This window comes from Homo sapiens, chromosome 9, assembly GCF_000001405.40.
Source record: "Homo sapiens chromosome 9, GRCh38.p14 Primary Assembly".
Classification (NCBI taxonomy): domain Eukaryota; kingdom Metazoa; phylum Chordata; class Mammalia; order Primates; family Hominidae; genus Homo; species Homo sapiens.
Window position 1 is genome coordinate 100,075,790 of NC_000009.12, and position 18,760 is coordinate 100,094,549.

Sequence of the window (18,760 nt, forward strand, 5' to 3'; positions counted from 1 at the left end):
ATTCCTCTTTTGGGTGTATTACTCCAGCCCATTTATCGAGTGACTCAAAAGGTTGCGAGTTTTGAGTGGAGTCAAGAACAGAAGACGGCTCTGCAACAGGTCCAGGCTGCTGTGCAAGCTGTTCTGCCACTTGGGCCATATAACCCAGCAGATCCAATGGTGCTTGAGGTCTCAGTGGCAGATAGGGATGCTGTCTGCAGCCTTTGTCAGGCCCCTATAGGTGAATCACAGTGGAGGCCTCTAGGATTTTGGAGCAAGGCCCTGCCATCTTCTGCAGATAACTACTCTCCTTTTGAGAGACAGCTCTTGGCCTGTTAGTGAGCTTTGGTGTAAACTGAATGTTTGACTATAGGTCTTCAAGTCACCATGAGACCAGAACTGCCTATCATGAACTGGGTGCTTTCTGACCCATCTAGCCATAAAGTGGGTCATGCACAGCAGCATTCCATCAGCAAATGGAAGTGATACATACACGATCGGGCTCAAGCAGGTCCTGAAGGCACAAATAAGTTACATGAGGAAGTGGCTCAAATGCCCATGGTCTCCACTCCTGCCACCCTGCCTTCTCTTCCCCAACCTGCACCAATGGCCTCATGGGGAGTTCCCTATGATCAGCTGACAGAGGAAGAGAAGACTAGGGCCTGGTTCACAGATGGTTCTGCATGATATGCAGGCACCACCCAAAAGTGGACAGCTGCAGCACCATAGCCCCTTTCTAGGATATCCGTAAAGGACAGCGGAGAAGGGAAATCTTCCCAGTGGGCAAAACTTCAAGCAGTGTACCTGGCTGTGCACTTTGCATGGAAGGAGAAATGGCTAGATATGTGATTATATACTGATTCATGGGCTGTAGCCAATGGGGATGGTCAGTGACTTGGAAAATTGGTGACAAAGAAATTGGGGGAAGAGGTATGTGGATGAACTTCTTTGAGTGGTCAAAAATTGTGAAGATATTTGTATCCCATGTGAGTGCTCACCAACGGGTGACTTCGGCAGAGGAGGATTTTAATAACCAAGTGGATAGGATGATCCATTCTGTGGACACCACTAAGCCTCCTTCCCCAGCCACCCCTGTCATCGCCCAATGGGCCCCATGAACAAAGTGGCCATGGTGGCAGGGATGGAGGTTACCCATGGGCTCAGCAACATGGACTTCCACTCACCAAGGCTGACCTGGCTTTGGCCACTGCTGAGTGCCCAGTTTGCCAGCAGCAGAGACCAACACTGAGCCCTCAATAAGGCACCTTTCCTCAGGGTGATCAGCCAGCTACCTGGTGGCAGGTTGATTATACTGGACCTCTTCTATCATGGAAAGGGCAGAGGTTTGTCCTCACTGGAATAGACACTTACTCCAGATATGGGTTTGCCTAACCTGCACACAATGCTTCTGCCAAGACTACCATCCGTGGACTCGAGGCATGCCTTATCCACTGTCAGGGTATTCCACACAGCATTGCCTCTGACAAAGACGCTCACTTTACAACTAAAGAAGTGTGGCAGTGGACTCATGCTCATGAAATTCATTGGTGTTACCATGTTCTCCATCATCCTGAAGCAGCTGGATTGACAGAACGATGGAATCGCCTTTTGAAGTCACAATTACAACGCCAACTAGGTGACAATACTTTGCAGGGCTCGGGCAAAGTTCTCCAGAAGGCCATGTATGCTCTGAATCAACATCCAATATATGGTACTATTTCTCCCATAGCCAGGATTCATGGATCCAGTAATCAAGGGGTGGAAGTGGCACCACTCACCATCACCCCTAGTGATCCACTAGCAAAATTTTTGCTTTGTGTTCCCACAACATTACGTTCTGCTGGCCTAGATGTCTTAGTTCCAGAGGGAGGAATGACACAACAACAATTCCATTAAACTGGAAGTTCAGGTTGCCAGCTGGACACTTTGAACTCCTCCTATCTTTAAGCCAACAGGCTAAGAAGGGAGGTACAGTGTTGGCTGGGGTGACTGACCCAGACTATGAAGATGCAATCAGTCTACTACTCCATAACAGAGGTAAGGAAGAGTATACATGGAATACAGGAGATCTGTTAGGGTGTCTCTTAGTATTACTATGCCTTGTGATTAACCACAACAGCCCAATCCAGGCAGAACTACAAATGGCCCAGACACTTCAGGAATGAAGGTTTGGGTCACTCCACCAGGAAAAAAAACACAACCACCAGGAAAAAAAACCACAACCTGCTGAGGTGCTTGCTGAAAGCAAAGGAAATACAGAATGGGTAGAACAAGGCAGTCATCAATACCAGTTACGACCATGTGGCCAGCTGCAGAAATGAGGACTGTAACTGTCATGAGTATTTCCTCCTTTTGTTAAAAACGTTTGTGCATGTATGTATACACTTGTACTAAGAAAATATCTTCAGGCCAGGTGCGGTGGCTCATGCCTGTAATTCCAGTACTTTGGGAGGCTGAGGAGGGCAGATCATCTGAAGTCAGGAGTTCAAGACCAGCCTGGCCAACGTGGTGAAACTCTCTCTCTACCAAAAATACAAAAATTAGCCAGGCGTGGTGGTGGGCAACTGTAATCCCAGCTACTCAGGAGGGTGAGGCAGGAGAATGACTCAAACCTGGGAGGTGGAGGTTGCAGTGAACTGAGATTGCGCCTCTGCACTCCAGCCTGGGTGACAGAGCAAGACTCTATCAAAAAAAAAAAAAAAAAGTCCGGGTGCAGCGGCTCATGCCTGTAATCCCAGCACTTTGGGAGGCAGTGGCAGGTGGATTGCCTGAGGCTGGGAGTTCAAGACCAGCCTGGCCAACATAGGGAAACCCTGTCTCTACTAAAAATACAAAAATTAGCTGGGCGTGGTAGCAGGCACCTGTGATCCCAGCTACTTGGGAGGCTGAGGCAGGAGAATCCTTTGAACCCAGGAAGCGGAGGCTGCAGTGAGCCAAGATCATGCCATTGCACTCCAGCCTGGGTGACGAGCAAGACTTCATCTCAAAAAACAAAAAAAGAAAAAAAAAAGTAAAGAAAAATATCTTCATTTTATTTATCACGTGACATGAGATTTATTGACTTCATATCAGCATTTAAGTATGTTAACTTTATGTAGTAGTATTTGGGTTGGGGATTGGTGCCTTTCAGGTTGTGCGAAGGATAGTTGTATTATGTTAGGCATAATTATGACTTTATCATTGCCTTTATTTAAAGATTATGTATGATCTCAGGAGATATATATGGGTTCAAGTTGATAAGGGGTGGACTTGTGATGGTTAACACTGAGTGTCAACTTGATTGGCTTGAAGGATGCAAAGTATTAATCTTGGGTATGTCTGTGATGGTGTTGCCAAAGGAGATTAACATCTGAGTCAGTGGGCTGGGAAAGGCAGACCCACCCCTAATCTGGGTGGGCACTATTTAATCAGCTGCCAGCATGGCCAGGACATAAAGCAGGCAGAAAAATGTGAAAAAGCTAGACTGGTTTAGCTTCCCAGCCTACATCCTTCTCCAGTGCTGGATGCTTCCTGTCCTCAAACATCAGACTCCAAGTACTTCAGCTTTCGCACTCAGACTGGCTCTCCTTGCTCCTCAGCTTGCAGACAGCCTATTGTGGAACCCTGTGATTGTGTGAGTTAATGCTCCTTAATAAACTCCCCTTTACACACACACACACACACACACACACACACACACACACACACAGACACCCTATTAGTTCTGCTTTTCTAGAGAACCCTAATACAAACATATTGTTCACTGCCACCACGCCTGGCTGACCCTCTTCTTAACAGGACTCTTTCAGTAGTCTAAGAAATGATCAAACATGAAAGCCATAAAAATATATATTATAATTTTTAATTTTGTTTATATCATGAGATGTAAAAAGAGCACTGGAAAATAGAATCAGGCCAGGAGCAGTGGCTCATGCCTATAATCCCAGCACTGCAGAGGCAGGAGGATCTTGAGGCCAGGAGTTAGAGACCAGCCTAGTCAGCACAGCAAGACCCCTCTCTCACTGTAAACATAAAAAATTAACTGGGCATAGTGGTGTATGCCTGTAGTCCTAGCTTCTTGGGAGGCTGAGGCAGGAAAATCATTGGAGCCCAGGAGTTCTAGGTTACATTGTACTATGACTGCAGCACTGCACTCTAGCCTGGGTGACAGAGTGAGTGCTGTCTTTAAAAAAAACAAAAAAAAAAAAAACAGAATCATAAACTTCAAAGATTATTCAGTTATATATAAAGTAAGTGTATTATTGTTTAATTTCCTATCATATTATCCTTGTCAATTCATCAATCCCCATATTAAATAAATAAATCCTCTATGGTTTCTGCTTTATTTAGGTCAAAATCATAGGTATTCAGAATTACAAAGATGAAGCGAGCCCTAGTTTACCTACTTTTAGAATACTCTTTCCCTTTCAATTCTCTTTCTCCTTAACAGCATCCCCGGCAGAATGGCCATTTACCCTACAATTGAACGCTTGCTATGACAGAGAGCTTACAGGAAAACCCAATCCATTGTAAAGTAATGCCGCTAGAAGGTTTTCCTTACAGGACTGAACATCTGCTCACCTTTAGGACTGAACATCTGCTCACCTTTCTCTTCTACAAATTGATGAAAATTCTATCATATACAGCTCATCAAGAACATATCTACCTACTCTTCCACAAGCTCATGGCAGTCCTCAGATGAGAACCTATGAAGATGAAAGCACTGCACCAGCTAAGGCCTGAAGGAAATTCAAGATACATTCTGTCCTGCAAGGGCCTACAATTCACTTAGGGAGATTTTAATGATCTAGTATAAAAAGTACATAATATGTATGATGCATATACTGTAAGGCTAATAGAAAGCATTACAGAGAAAATTTACAGACAGGGCCAAAAAAAGGCAGGGAGCACTGCATGGGTTGGATCAACGAGTAGTTTCTATGGATGAAGAGAGTAGTGAATCCTGGCTATGGAAGTTCATGTAGTGCCTCATTGGAAGATAAAGATGGAAGGTTAGGTTGGGGCAAGACTGTAAAGAGCTATGGAGTTGATCCTCCAATGAGCTGCCTTGCAAACGTGGGTACAGGAAACTAACATAATACAGCATCTTAATAAAGATGAGTATCCTGCCAGTATGTAGAATGACACACATTGAGGAATATAAGATTTAATTATAGTGATTACCAATATAAGAAAAAAAGCTTCCTATATATGAAAAGAACTACTTTTCAAAATAAACAAAAAACCTAGATTGCATAGTAAAATATATTTAGAAAAACTGAAAAAAAAATATGAAAATCAAGACTAAATACATCTATATCAGTAATTATAAAAGAATTTATATCAGTAATTATAAAAGGTTTAACTGATCTATTAAAAGTTTTCATAGTAGGTCACAGAGTAAAACCCAACTCTATTCTGAAAACAAGAGATATACCTATAAAAGATAGTAATTCCAACAGGTTGGAAATTAAAAAATAAATAAAATAATACTAGCAAATGCAAATAATGGAAAAGCTGGGGGATACCCATCTTTAGTTACTAAACAAAGTGGAATGGGGCCAAAAAGCATTTAATAAGACAAAAAGAAAAGGGCTCTTTCAAAAGCTAACAGCACAATTTACAATGACAGTGTAATAGTTGTAAACATCTATATGCGAAATAGCACAGCAGCAACATCTGTAAAGCAGAAATTATGGGAGATACAAGTAGAAAGAGAAATGAATCTGTAACATAAATTTTAATTTACTTCTCTCATTTCAATGACAGATCAAGTAAAAAAAAAACCATAAATATTAATAAAAATGACCTAAGTGAGATTTATTAATGTTAAATCTGATATAATCATCTCAATAGATGCTAAAAAGGTATTTGACAAAGTCCAACAGCATTCCTGATTTAAAATGCTAGTCACTTAACAGAAAAAATATACATCTGTCTCAGCCCAAAGCCATAATCACGTCTATTGGGGAAATACTAAAGGCATTATTACTAAATTTAGAACAAGACAGGAATGTCATTAAGAACACCATTATTTAACATTCATTTAACATTTTTGGAAGTACAAGACAAAGCAATTAGGAAAAACGTTGTAGGTATAAAAATGAGAAAGGAGGAGATAAAATTGCCACTCACTGCAAATCACATAACTGCATACATGACAACCAAAAACAAATTAACTAAAATAACACCACAAACAGTTAGAGACTGTGTATCAGAGTATAAGATTAATATACAAAATTAATAACATACACACACACAAAACAACTAGAGTATATAATAGAAGAGGAAAAAAGCCTATTTGTAATGCAACAAAAAAGGAACCAAATATCTAGGAATAAACAAAAAAATGTAAAAAAGCAAAAAAACTTTTAAATTATCCCAAAGGACATAAAAGGACACTTGAGCTTGTAGAAATATACACCACCTTCATGAACAGGAAACATCATAGAGCAGTCAAGCCTCCCTCAGTTAAAATATACATGCAATGTAATGAATAAAATACCAAAATGTTTTTTTAAACCAAAAAAGCCCATTCTAAAATATAAGCAGAAAACCACCATGGCACATGTATACCTATGTAACAAACCTGCACATTCAGCACATGTATCCCAGAACTTAGAGTGAAATATAAAAAATAATATATATATATATATATGCAGAAAAAAGGAACTGAAGATAAAGTCCACTAATAACCCCAAATAAAGACATGCTATACACCTCAAGTCAGAGAGAAAAGACAGGCACTTCAATAAACTGGTTTGGAACAACAGGCAGCCACCTGAAAAAACATATACAGTCGTCCATGGGTACCTACAGGAGATTGGTACCAGGACACTCCACCAAAATCCATGCATGCTCAGGACCCACAATTAGCCCTGTGGAACCCATAGATACAAAAAATTGGTCCTCCACATCCTCAGGCTTCGCATTCTATGAATACAGTATTTTAGATCTGCATTTGGCTGTGGACGTGAAACTTGCCAGATATGGAGGGCCTACTGTAGGAAAAAAAAAAAAAATCCACGTATAAGTAGATCCATGCAGTTCAAACCTATATTGTTCAAGGGGTTAACTGTATATTAAAAAGCATGCTCTAAATCCTCATGAGAATATATTTCAAATAAATATAAAGATTTACATATTTCCAATGAAACCACAAAAGTAGCCAAAGAAAATACATGAGAATTACTTTCAAATCTTGGAATGGAGAAGGAATTTCTAATTATGAATCATAACCCAAAGCCATAAAAGATTGATGAAACCACAAACACAAGCACACTTACTACACAAAACCACATAACAAATAATAGAAAGAATGAATAAACAAAAGAAAGAGAAAAGAAACTGAGAAAACATAAAAAGAATTTCCCTAAATTATAAAAAGCTCTGGAAATGGGTAAGGAAAAGACAACATCCCAATAAAAAAAAAGGTGAACAAAGATGATGAACATATAATGCTATTCACTGTAATATTATTTGTAATAGCAAAAGATTGGAAACAACCTGAATATTCATCAACTAGATAGTGGATAAATTACAATGCATCAATACAATGGAATTCTATGCCACTATGAAAATAAAAATAAGGACATTCTCTATGTACTAATGGAAAGACCTCCAAAATACATTATTAAAGGAAAAAAGCAAGGTGTATATAAAATAGACCACTGAAAGCCAGATAGGGGGGTTGATATCAGCTACAGCAAAAAATAAAAAGCCATGAGAAGGGTTGAAAGTACAATGAGTCAAAAAGTGTAAGACTTCAAACCTAGGTGACTGAGAACTGAAAGGGAAGACTATTTGAGAGAAAAGAATTTCTGTGCAGTCACAGATCTACTTCAATTTCACTAGTACATGCCTTGCTCCAGTCAATGGGAAAATAGCTGTCAGAAGATGAGACACCTTCTACCAATTAGCATGGGAAATTTGGAAATCGTGTTTGACTACCTTTTACACCCAGGACTAATGCATCAAGAAAGTAACACTGCCCAAGGCACTAATAAAAGCACTAACAGGCTCCTAGCTACTCCAATCTATAGAGATGCAAAAGTGAAATTGAATAGTGGTTATGAATTAAAATGACTGGCTATCAAGATGCAATAGGACGGGAGAAAAGCTCTAAGATAGTACATTAGAGAGTATCCACATTTATCTCCTTACGGTCTTCTGTCCCTTAAATGTAGATATTTTTCCCTTTTCCACCCCGTGAAAAAGCAAGAGAAAACAGTCAGATACAGAGGGAAAGACAGACGGACAGACAGATGGAACTACTGGAGCATAAAAGAACCAGAGAAAATAGCCTAACAGGGAAGAATGAGGTAGTTAACAGTAGGAAATGCTCTCAGAGTCTTACAGAAGACTTACCAAAGGATATTATAATTTGTAATTAGGAAGCTACTCCAACCTAGGGAATACATCACAGTCACTTAAAAAGTTAAATCATGTATGATAGCCTCCAGTATGTCAGACAACACGCTCTTCTATTTATAATCTTTCTAACTACAAACTTAAAAGTTTTCACAGATGCAAATCAAGCAAAACCACATTGACTCTGCCTGTCACCAACAGATAAAATTAGCCATCCCTTGTACAATGTGCCACTCTGGACTTATGCACAAGGGCATTAACAAACACCATTTCAGAACCTAAACATAAAGAGGATGACTGTGTATACTTTTAAATGATTTCCAACCAAACTTGTTTTGCTTTAATGGTATTGGTTTTAATTACCTAAAATATCTGACTGATATGAATTACTTCATTACCTGACAATGGGTTAATAAACTGATAATAATACAAGAGTTCATATTTCTCTTAAAAGAAATTGTGCCCTGAAGACACCCTTGTTGCTTCTTTAAACTAAAAACCATTTAAACAACCTGAATAAAAGTGCATTTAAAGATACCAAGAAAACATCTTTTATCCTATTTTTACAATATTCCAGAATATTTATTAACTAATACTTCAAAGTAATATTCAAAAATAAGTGACAGACTCTCCGAAAATCGTATCATACGGAACTATGGATAAAGCTCCCTGCTTATTTCCTTAAATACCACAATCCGTTTTGCATTAGAAGTAAGAGCTAAAGATAATCCAGAGACACTAGATACTACTGTAGAAAGGGGTATTCCCCAAATAAAGTAAGCTAAGAAAGGCATCAACCACAAAAAGCTAAGGCAACAAACACAACAGCCTTACCACAATTAACTAATTCAGTCATACTAGCCAGGTGGTTTATCTTGCCTCATGGTACAAATGAAGAAGAAAAACAGAACCCTCTGATTATTTTGCTACAGGATATTGGATACTTCTCAGAATTAAAAGCTATTAAAATTTACTGAGGGCTCGGTTATTATATATTTTAAAACACTTTTTTATTCAAGACAATAACTAGTGTGTATCAAGGAAGTCTTTATAATTTTACTTATCGTTGTAGAATGGAAAATACAATTTACCCTCCTCTTTTAACCAACTCTCCATCTTTCCAATGGTAGGTATATGTGTAACTATTAATGAGATCAGAAAAGCAAGACCATATAATGAACTTTTCTTTATCTCAAATTAAAATATCCATCATAATCAATCTTATCTGCCAACAGGTTCTCACCAAATACCTTCATTACAGTATCTAAACTTAAATAGATTTGTTAAATCCCCAGTTTCATCAAGTCTATAAACAGATTTAGCTTAAGGGCCAAAACTTACTAAAAGTAGTAAATACTACATATGCTTTTGTGTAAAAAAACTATACCCCCATGGAAGCAATATTCCAGACCACAGAACTATGATAACTATGGTGTACGTAAGTTAAGGTTACAGGAGCAAATGAAACTGCATAACTACCAATTTGAAATCTTCCACACTGGCTGGGTGCAGTGGCTCACGCCTGTAATCCCAGCACTTTGGGAGGCCGAGGCAGGTGGATCACCTGAGATCAGGAGTTCGAGACCAGCCTGGCCAACATGGTGAAACCTCGTCTCTACTAAAAATACAAAATTAGCTGGACATGGTGGCGCATGCCTGTAATCTCAGCTACTTGGGAGGCTGAGGTAGGAGAACTGCTTGAACCTGGGAGGCAGAAGTTGCAGTGAGCCAAGATCATGCCATTGCACTCTAGCCTGGGCAACAAGAGCGAAACTCTGTCTCAAAAACAAAACAAAAAATCTTCCACACTTAAACGGAATTTTTATTTTTTCATATTTTCAGTAATGAGAAATCTGCAGTATAATCTACTCTTTCCTTACTAAATTCAACTAGAGAAAGATTATATTTTTCTAAAGATTTGTCATCATTTTCCATATACCTAGTCAATTACAACAGTCAGAGATAATCTTTTTTGAATGATTTTGAATGTTCAAGGTAATAGAAACGATGTTTTTCTATGTAGTGCAAATGATACCTTTCAAACAGCAGGGCATAACGCATGTTTCCTCACTTTCATTTATACCACTTACAGGAATTTATTTGCTTTTGTATTAAAAGCTGAAATGCATATCAAGTTAGATTTTTATTTCTATCAATCATAATTATAGTTGTCACTATTTTGATAAGGCTATGTCATAACTTACCAAAGGAAAGAGACAAGTTAACAAATACTTTAAGAAACCACTAATATCTAGACTTGACTTTTAAAATTAAAAGCCTCACCCATTTACTCATTTCAGAGAGTCAAAAGATAACAATCACAGAAGGATGGTCAGCACAAGCACTATCCTTTTCTAAGGTGCTTTCTCCATTTCACAACGACTCCATTCACTTAACAACATTTCCTTCTCTACTATTACTTTACAAACAAGTATCTCCTACATGCCAGACATCATACAATGTCCTTTACATACATTATATCTCAATCTCACAATCTTGCAGAATTATTATTCCCACTTTTAGAAAAACTGATATTCAAAAAGATAAAGAAATTTGCCTACTATCACAACAGCTAAAAAGAGAGGGAGCTAGGAATGAAGCAGGTCTTTCCAGCTTCAAAGTCACTCTACCTTCTAGTACTCTCAGTTACCCCAGAAATCCAGACCATAGAACTACTTCCATAATTGATCAACTCTCCCTGAAAGGGAAATACATTGCACACCTAGCCTTCTGGGGAAAGAATCCACACAACAAACACATGTTTGAAGCATCCACAAATATTTTAATCTAACAGTATCTTCTATCAACAGTTTACAAACATGTATATTATCTCTTTAAATCATCATAGCAACTCTGAACGTGAAGTAGGAATTACATTATCCCTATTTTATAAATAAAAAAAAAAACTTTGCAGTCTCTGGCATACAGTAAAAGGGAGAATATTTATTAAATGAATAAGATTCAAATAAGCTAAGTGACGTGTCCAAATTAATGGCAGAACAGAATTCAAACCCTAATCTCCTTTAATTCTAAAACCAATGGACTATACGACAAAACACAACTCCCTCCATAAGCTTTTTTCAAAATAATATAACAAATTTATGTATAACACTAATTAAAATACAGTTATAAAACAGAGCTAAGCTGATAACTTATTCACTTAACAGTCACATTTTTAAGCTGTTTTTGTTGGCATAATGACAATGTAATTATTAGGATAAGAAGACCACAGACCACAAAGGCCGGAAGCTGGTCAAGTGAACTCATTACATCAGTGCACACAATTTTAATACCATTGGACAGACAACTTGAAAGTTTCAAAAAAAGGGTATCTATTTAGTCATTCATTCATTCACTCAGTCCCTCATCTTAACATTTATTGAACACCTATTATGTGGCAAAAACCAGGAGAGTTTAGTTTCTTATAATGCACTACAGACACATTCAGTCTCATTAGCTGCCCCAGAACTAAGCAGGAGAGGTCTTTATCTCTATCTGATATGTGAGAAAATGGAAACTCAGAAAGGTTAAATAACTTTTTGAAGTTACATGGTCAAGCTAGGAGTTATTTCCAAGTGGTAGAATACATCTAAGCATGTGGTATCTTTTCTTTCTATATTTCTATGAACCAGAAGTCTACCACTCTACATCAGGATTAAACAAAAAGAGCCCAATCTTATATTGTTCAAAATATACACATTACTATTAAAAATCCATACGCATATGCACAGAATAAAACCGAAAGGAAATACACTAAAATGTTATCAGTGGTTAGTGTACGCATTTTTTTCTTCATTATGCTTTTCTGTACCATGAAAGTGTTATCACTTTCGGGAATCAAAAAACACGTCAGGAAATCTTTTGGTTTAACATTTTAAGTTACTACAACAGTATTTTTCACACTGCAAGTTGGGACCCCTCCTGTAACAGAGAATCAAAACAACAAAGGCTACTCCCAACAGAGGCAAATGGGGCAAGGCTGAAGAGATCAATAATATCAGCCACCCAGTTAGGAAGTTCTTCCCTACTGAGTCAGATCAGCAATTTTTAAAAAATAAAATAAAGCACAGAATAGAAAAAGAAAAACAATTATCAGTAAACAACATACATAGTAAGGGCAAGTACACTTTTGCAAAATATGTTTTAACTAAATGACTTCATCTTCTAATATGCTGTATCTTATTCACTATATGACAATCACGCTGCTCTCCTTGCTATTTCTTGAATATGCCTGGGACACTCCCACATTAGGGGCTTTGCACTGACTAACGGCCCTGCCTGGAAGGCTCTTCTTCCAGGAAATCCAAATGACTAACTCCCTCACTTGCTTCAAGGCTCACCTGTCCCGTGATGCTTACAAACTACAACTCCCCTAATACACTCCTGATCCTTCTCACGTAAGCCCTACCTTTTCTTTTTCCACAGTACTTAAATTGTTATTAAGCATTTACTCTATAATAAGGCATTGTACAACAAACTGAGATCTAAGAATGAGAAAAGGGGATACCTTTCACCACTTTTTGTTTCATAAAATCATAATAGTAGCATGGAATAACACCACCACTTAGGAGTCAGACATAATACCAGTATTATTCCTCAGAAGTTAATAGGAAAATAGAGATGTTAAGAAGAAAGAAGGGTGGTGAGTAGCAGATCCAAGATTTGGGCCCAAATCCCTGATCCCTAAACTAAATATTCTTCTAAAAGTTTTCTCTTTAGTCTATATATATTCAAGCGATCATTAAGGGAAAGAAATACTTCGAATATTCCAGAAGATATCCTAAAACCAGAGTACAGGTACAAATAAACAAACTGGATGATTTCTGAAACAAATAAGATACATGCTTTAAAAATGTAGCACAGTCTTTACATTAGTCCCCTTTATCCAACCATGATCTGAAAACATTAAATGGAAAATTCCAGAAATAAACACTTTATAAGTTTTAAATTGCATGCAGTTCTAAGTAGTGTGATGAAGTCTCATACCATCTTGCTTCAAATTAGGTGGGATGTGAATCATCCTTTTGTCCAGCATATTCCCACTGCAGACATAACCCGCCCCTTATCAACTGTAGTGGTACTGGAATCACAATACTTGTGTTCAAAAACCCATACTTTACTTAATAATGGCTCCAAAGCACAAGAGTAGTGATGCTGGCAATTAAGATATGCCAAAGAGAGGCCAGGCGTGGTGGCTCATGCCTGTTAATCCCAGCACTTTGGAGGGCCAAGGCAGGCGGATCACCTTAGGTCAGGAGTTCGAGACCAGCCAAGCCAGCATGGCAAAACCCCAAATCTACTAAAAATACAAAAATTAGCTGGGTGTAGTGGCGAGTGCCTGTAATCCCAGCTACTCAGGAGGCTGAGGCAGAAGAATCGCTTGAACCCAGGAGGCAGAGGTTGCAGTGAACCAATATCACGCCACCGCACTCCAGCCTGGGTGACAGAGTGAGACTCCATCTCAAAAAAAAAAAAAAAAAAAAAAAGATATGCCAAAGAGAAGCCATAAAGCGCTTCCTTAAGTGAAAAGATGAAAGCTCTTGACTTTAAATGGAAAGAAAATAAATCATACGCTGAGGTGGCTAAGATCTAGATTAAGAATAAATCTTCTATAAAGAAACTGTGAACAGTATATTTTATTATTAGTTACTATTGTTGATCTCTTACTGTGCCTAATTTATAAAGGAAACTTTATCATAGGTATGTATGTATAAGAAAAAACATAGTATATATAGGGTTCGGTATAATCCACAATTTCAGGCAGACACTGAGCATCTTGGAACATTACCTCCTGTGGATAAGAGGGGACTACTGTAACTCTAAAGCAAAATTAGGGTCTCTGAAACTGTTCATTTCATTCAAAGGTTAAACTAACAAAGAACTAAGTATTTTACAACATTGTAATACTTTTGTTGTTAGCACACTACAAGACTTCCTGTGAGGAAATAATATCCACTCCTACAGTAAAAATTCCTGCTATTTAGAAAGTTTGAGGAATGAGTCCATTTGAGTAGCTGTTTTCTAAGAAATTATTTTGACTAGCAAAAAAAGAAAAAAAAAGTAGCTATTCTTTATTCTCAGCCCTTTCAGAGGTAAAATCATTACAGAAGTGTAAGCTTATCACTGGCTAGCTGACATTTTACTGTACTTGGGCCAGAACTCCAGTAATAAGTCAAAGGAACTGAGGATGTGCAGGTTTCTTCTCTCAAGGTAACGCCAAATGACAATACATTATCTTACACTTGCAGCTGTTCTATAAGCAAAGAGATAGACTTCAATGATGTGTTGGTAATTTTTAAAAGCTGGCATTTCCCCCTACATTATTTAAAACTTCAAATACAACAAAACAGGCCTGGCACAGTGGCTCACGGCTGTAATCCTAACACTTTGGGAGGCTGAGGTAGGTGGATCACCTGAGGTCAGGAGTTTGAGACCAGTCTGGCCAACATGGTGAAACCCCGTCTCTACTAAAAACACAAAAATTAGCCGGGCATGGTGGCAGGCACCTGTAATCCCAGCTACCTGGGAGGCTGAGGCAGGAGAATCACTAGAACCCAGGAGGTGGAGGCTGCAGTGAGCCGAGATCACGCCATTGCATTCCAGCCTGGGCAACGGAGTGAGACTCTGTTTCAAAAAAAAAAAAATATACAACAAAACAGCTAAAGAGCAGGCTTGTAAATATGAGTGCGTACTGTCTATAGGACAAGAAATTTTAACTCTAACATTTTATTTTGTAGATGCATTCATAATCTATATTCCTAATGACCTCTTTTTTATTTTTAAAAATTTATTTTTCCCAGAAGGATGTCAAACATGACCTAACAACCTTTTTCTAAAATTTCTTAAATCCATTCACCAAAGGTCCCACTACTAGACTATAATAAGGAAGAAATGGAAAAAGTACTGGTATTCTACTATTCAGCCTATGGTTTTCTTTAGCTCAAATACTACTACAATGTTTTTCTGAGATGGGTTTCTTCTGCTTTTTTGTTGCTTTTCTCTACTATATTAGCAATGTTCGTGTCTACAAATTCAGGTGACTTAAAATTAGAGTCCAATATAATGCTCAAAGTTCTACATAATGATGAAATCTCAGGTTTGTAGGAATTGCAGAGATGAATGTGGTGACCACAATATCACCAAGGATTCCCAAAGCAGTTAGAATTCGATTTCAGTCTTTGCAAGGACAGAACCAAGACCCACAGCATTACAGAAGGGACTTCTCCAAAGTGGCATTTTATTCCTCTCCCCTCTTGAATGGACTAATCTGAAGGCTAGTTAGAACCCACTAAAGATCATGATTTTTATTTTTGCTAAGTTGATAACAAACTGTTTTAATGAAGTTGGCCAAAGGGTTTGCCAGCTTCTTTAGGGCCAATTCTGACATTTGGCCACGTCAGCCAACCAGACAACAAGATTTCTTAAAAATAAAACAATAAAAAACAAGTATTCAATTGATAGAAAAGATTTACTATGTTATTGAGAGGCACTGCCCTTTTTCTTCATTCCATTCAGGACTGAAAATAAGTTGATCCATTTAACTATTCAAGGCAATATTCAAATTCATCTTTTTCCAAGACTACTCTGATTCCTCCACTGAGAAATAATTTGTTTCTTCCAAACATCCATGGCAGTATTTCTCGAACTTTTATGTGCATATGAATCATCTGGGTATAAGTTCTTAAAGTGCAGGTTCTGATTCAGTAGGTCTGAGGTGAGGTGATCTAAAAGGTCTCATATGATGCTGATGCCTGGGCTCACAATCACACTTCTGAGTAGCAGGATCTATAACCCACTTCTACAAACACCTTTGGCATCCATTACTTTCCTTTTGGTAGTCTAATTATTTATATATATATCTTCTCTCCTCATCTGAATTACTAATTTCTTGAAGGCATGATATGCATCTCAATGATCTTTTTCTCCTCCATAGTAGATTGCAAATAGACTTTCAAATGATAGGCAGAAAAGAAAAATAATAACAAAGATACAGATTAAGTTTCTGCAGCCTGGGCCATAGATGAGTTCCTCTCTATGGAATCAAAGTTAGGCTAAAAATCAATAAATGTTGCAAAAACTCAAACTGTTTTTAATCTTCTTGGTTAGAAGAAATAGAGTACAGCAAGAGTCAATATCAGATAAGCTGTGACAAAAGCATGCTAAGCATGCCCCATACACATGTGCAACATGCTGACAAGCTAGCAGATTTTTAAAGGAACTACCCAATCAAATAATAAGTCTATAATCAGTAGGAGCTAAAGGAATACCCTTTTGTAGTCTATCTTGAAAATAAGATAGACTACACAAAGAATCATTGAATCATCAAATCCATGTGCTTACGTTATAGACAAGAAAAACAAGTAATTTAACCAAGGTTATGATGGTTAAGTAAATGGAAGAGTCGGAACTTACATAGATGCCATGACATCTACTTTTGCATTACACTGCCTTTTGAATGGAGACTAATGAAGAGGCAAAAGAATAATACCTTCCACTGTTCATAAACTCTATCTTGTGAGTACATTCATTCTGAATTACTGGAAGAAGAGTAAGCCATTTTTTGAAAAGAAGACACATAACAAGAACCCATAATACAAACATGCACACAAGAAAACAAATTATCAATAAATATGAAAAAAATTCAACTTTGGTTGTAATCAAAGAAATGTAAATTTAAATTGTGATACCATTTTTGGTCTAGTAAATTGGCACAGATTACAAAAACACTCACTACTGATGAGAGTGTGAGGAAGTGGGCATAGTCACACACTGTTAGGAATACACATTGGTACAAATTTTCAGTAGGGCAATTTAGTACAACATATCAGAAATTCTAAATATAAGACACACCATATAACCCAAAAAATATAATTCTAGAAAAGTAACCTGAGAATGTATCTGAACATTTGCAGAGAACATCATTGTATGCATACCTTTTGTACATTTTTTATAACTGTGAAAAACTTGAAATAACCAGTAACCAAAATGTCTTAACAAATAATGAAGTAAGCTACAGTGCATTTAAAGGTTGAGCTTCTATAATGCTATTAAAAATCACAGTATACAGTTTAGAAAAAGTTTTCAATAACTGTAAGCAATTAAACATCTCCAAGGGTTTTTACAAATTTTAACCTATCAGACATATGACTGAATTCACATATGGCTGTATATTCCAGTGCTTCTCAACCCTGTGAGCATCATCACAGAATCAACTAAGGATATAAAGGGTTAAGAACTCTGTGTGGGCTGGGCACAGTGGCTCAGGCCTATAATACCAGAACTTTGGGAGGCCAAAGCGGGTGGATCGCTTGAGCCCAGGAGTTCGAGACCAGCCTGGGCAACATGGCAAAAGCCTATCTCTACTAAAAATACAAAAATTAGCTGGGTGTGGTGGCTTGTGCCTGTAGTCCCAGCTACTTGGGAGGCTAAGGTGGGAGCATCACGTGACCTGGGAGGTTGAGGCTACAGTGAGCCAAGATCAGGCCACTGCACTCCAGCCTGGGCTACACAGCAAGACCCTGTCTGTGGGGGGGGAAAAAAAAAGAACTGTGTGTGTCTGTGTCTATATAGTCTAGAAATAGAAGACCAACAATTCTACAGAAAACCAGGCTAGACAGGAAGACAGTTCACACAAAAAGAAATGCAAATGACTTTTACACCTAAGAAGCTTGATCACACTCATATTAAAGACAGGCAAATTAAAATACATTGAGATACCATTTCTCACCCATCAGACTGACAAATACCCAATAATTTGACATTATACCTTTTTAATCAAGGCTACAGGGAAACTATTACATTGTTGGTGAGGTCATAAAATGGCACAACCCCTATACGGAGAGTAATTTCAAATATACAGCAATACCTACAAAGCTACATATACATTTACCTTTTGCCCTAGCAACTGCAAGTACAGAAATCTATCTCAAAGATACACTATCAAAATTACGTAAGCACAAGCTATTGTTTGCAGAGCTATCTGTAACAGCAAAAGAATGGTAACAACAGTGAACTGGTATCTATCCAGTGAAGCATAAGCAGTTAAAAAGAAATAGGCAAAATTTCTATCCGCATCTCTAGAATAAAATTTTAAGTTAAAAAAAAGGTGGGGGAAAAGTGTGACTAATAAGCTACAATTTAATCCAAGTGGAGGGAGAAACAAATATATGCCAAAATAAATACAAATAGCTTGTACCTTTAAAAAAAAAAAAGGAAGAAAGGGACATAAAATTGAAAAAGTTTTTAAAAAAGTATTCCAGGCCGGGCGTGGTGGCTCATGCCTGTAATCCCAGCACTTTGGGAGGCCAAGGCGGGCAGATCACCTCAGGTCAGGAGTTTGAGACCAGCCTGGCCAACATGGTGAAACCCCATCTCTACTAAAAATATAAAAATTAGCCAGGCACAGTGGCAAGCGCCTGTAATCCCAGCTAAT

The 18,760-nt window shown here is 37.9% G+C and overlaps 1 protein-coding gene across 1 annotated transcript in view, besides 1 other annotated feature; it reads right to left on the reverse strand.

Annotated features, from left to right (window-relative positions):
- The window catches only part of ERP44 (endoplasmic reticulum protein 44), a 119,816-nt gene that overhangs the window by 96,605 nt on the left and 4,451 nt on the right, over positions 1-18,760 (reverse strand). The gene's annotated exons all lie outside the window — the stretch shown is intronic.
- Positions 8,173-8,252: an enhancer, noted in NCBI's record as "active region_28719". NCBI's record gives its function as "activates an Ori minimal core promoter by ATAC-STARR-seq in GM12878 lymphoblastoid cells {active_cell/tissue: GM12878}" and the evidence as "EXISTENCE:reporter gene assay evidence [ECO:0000049][PMID:35858748]".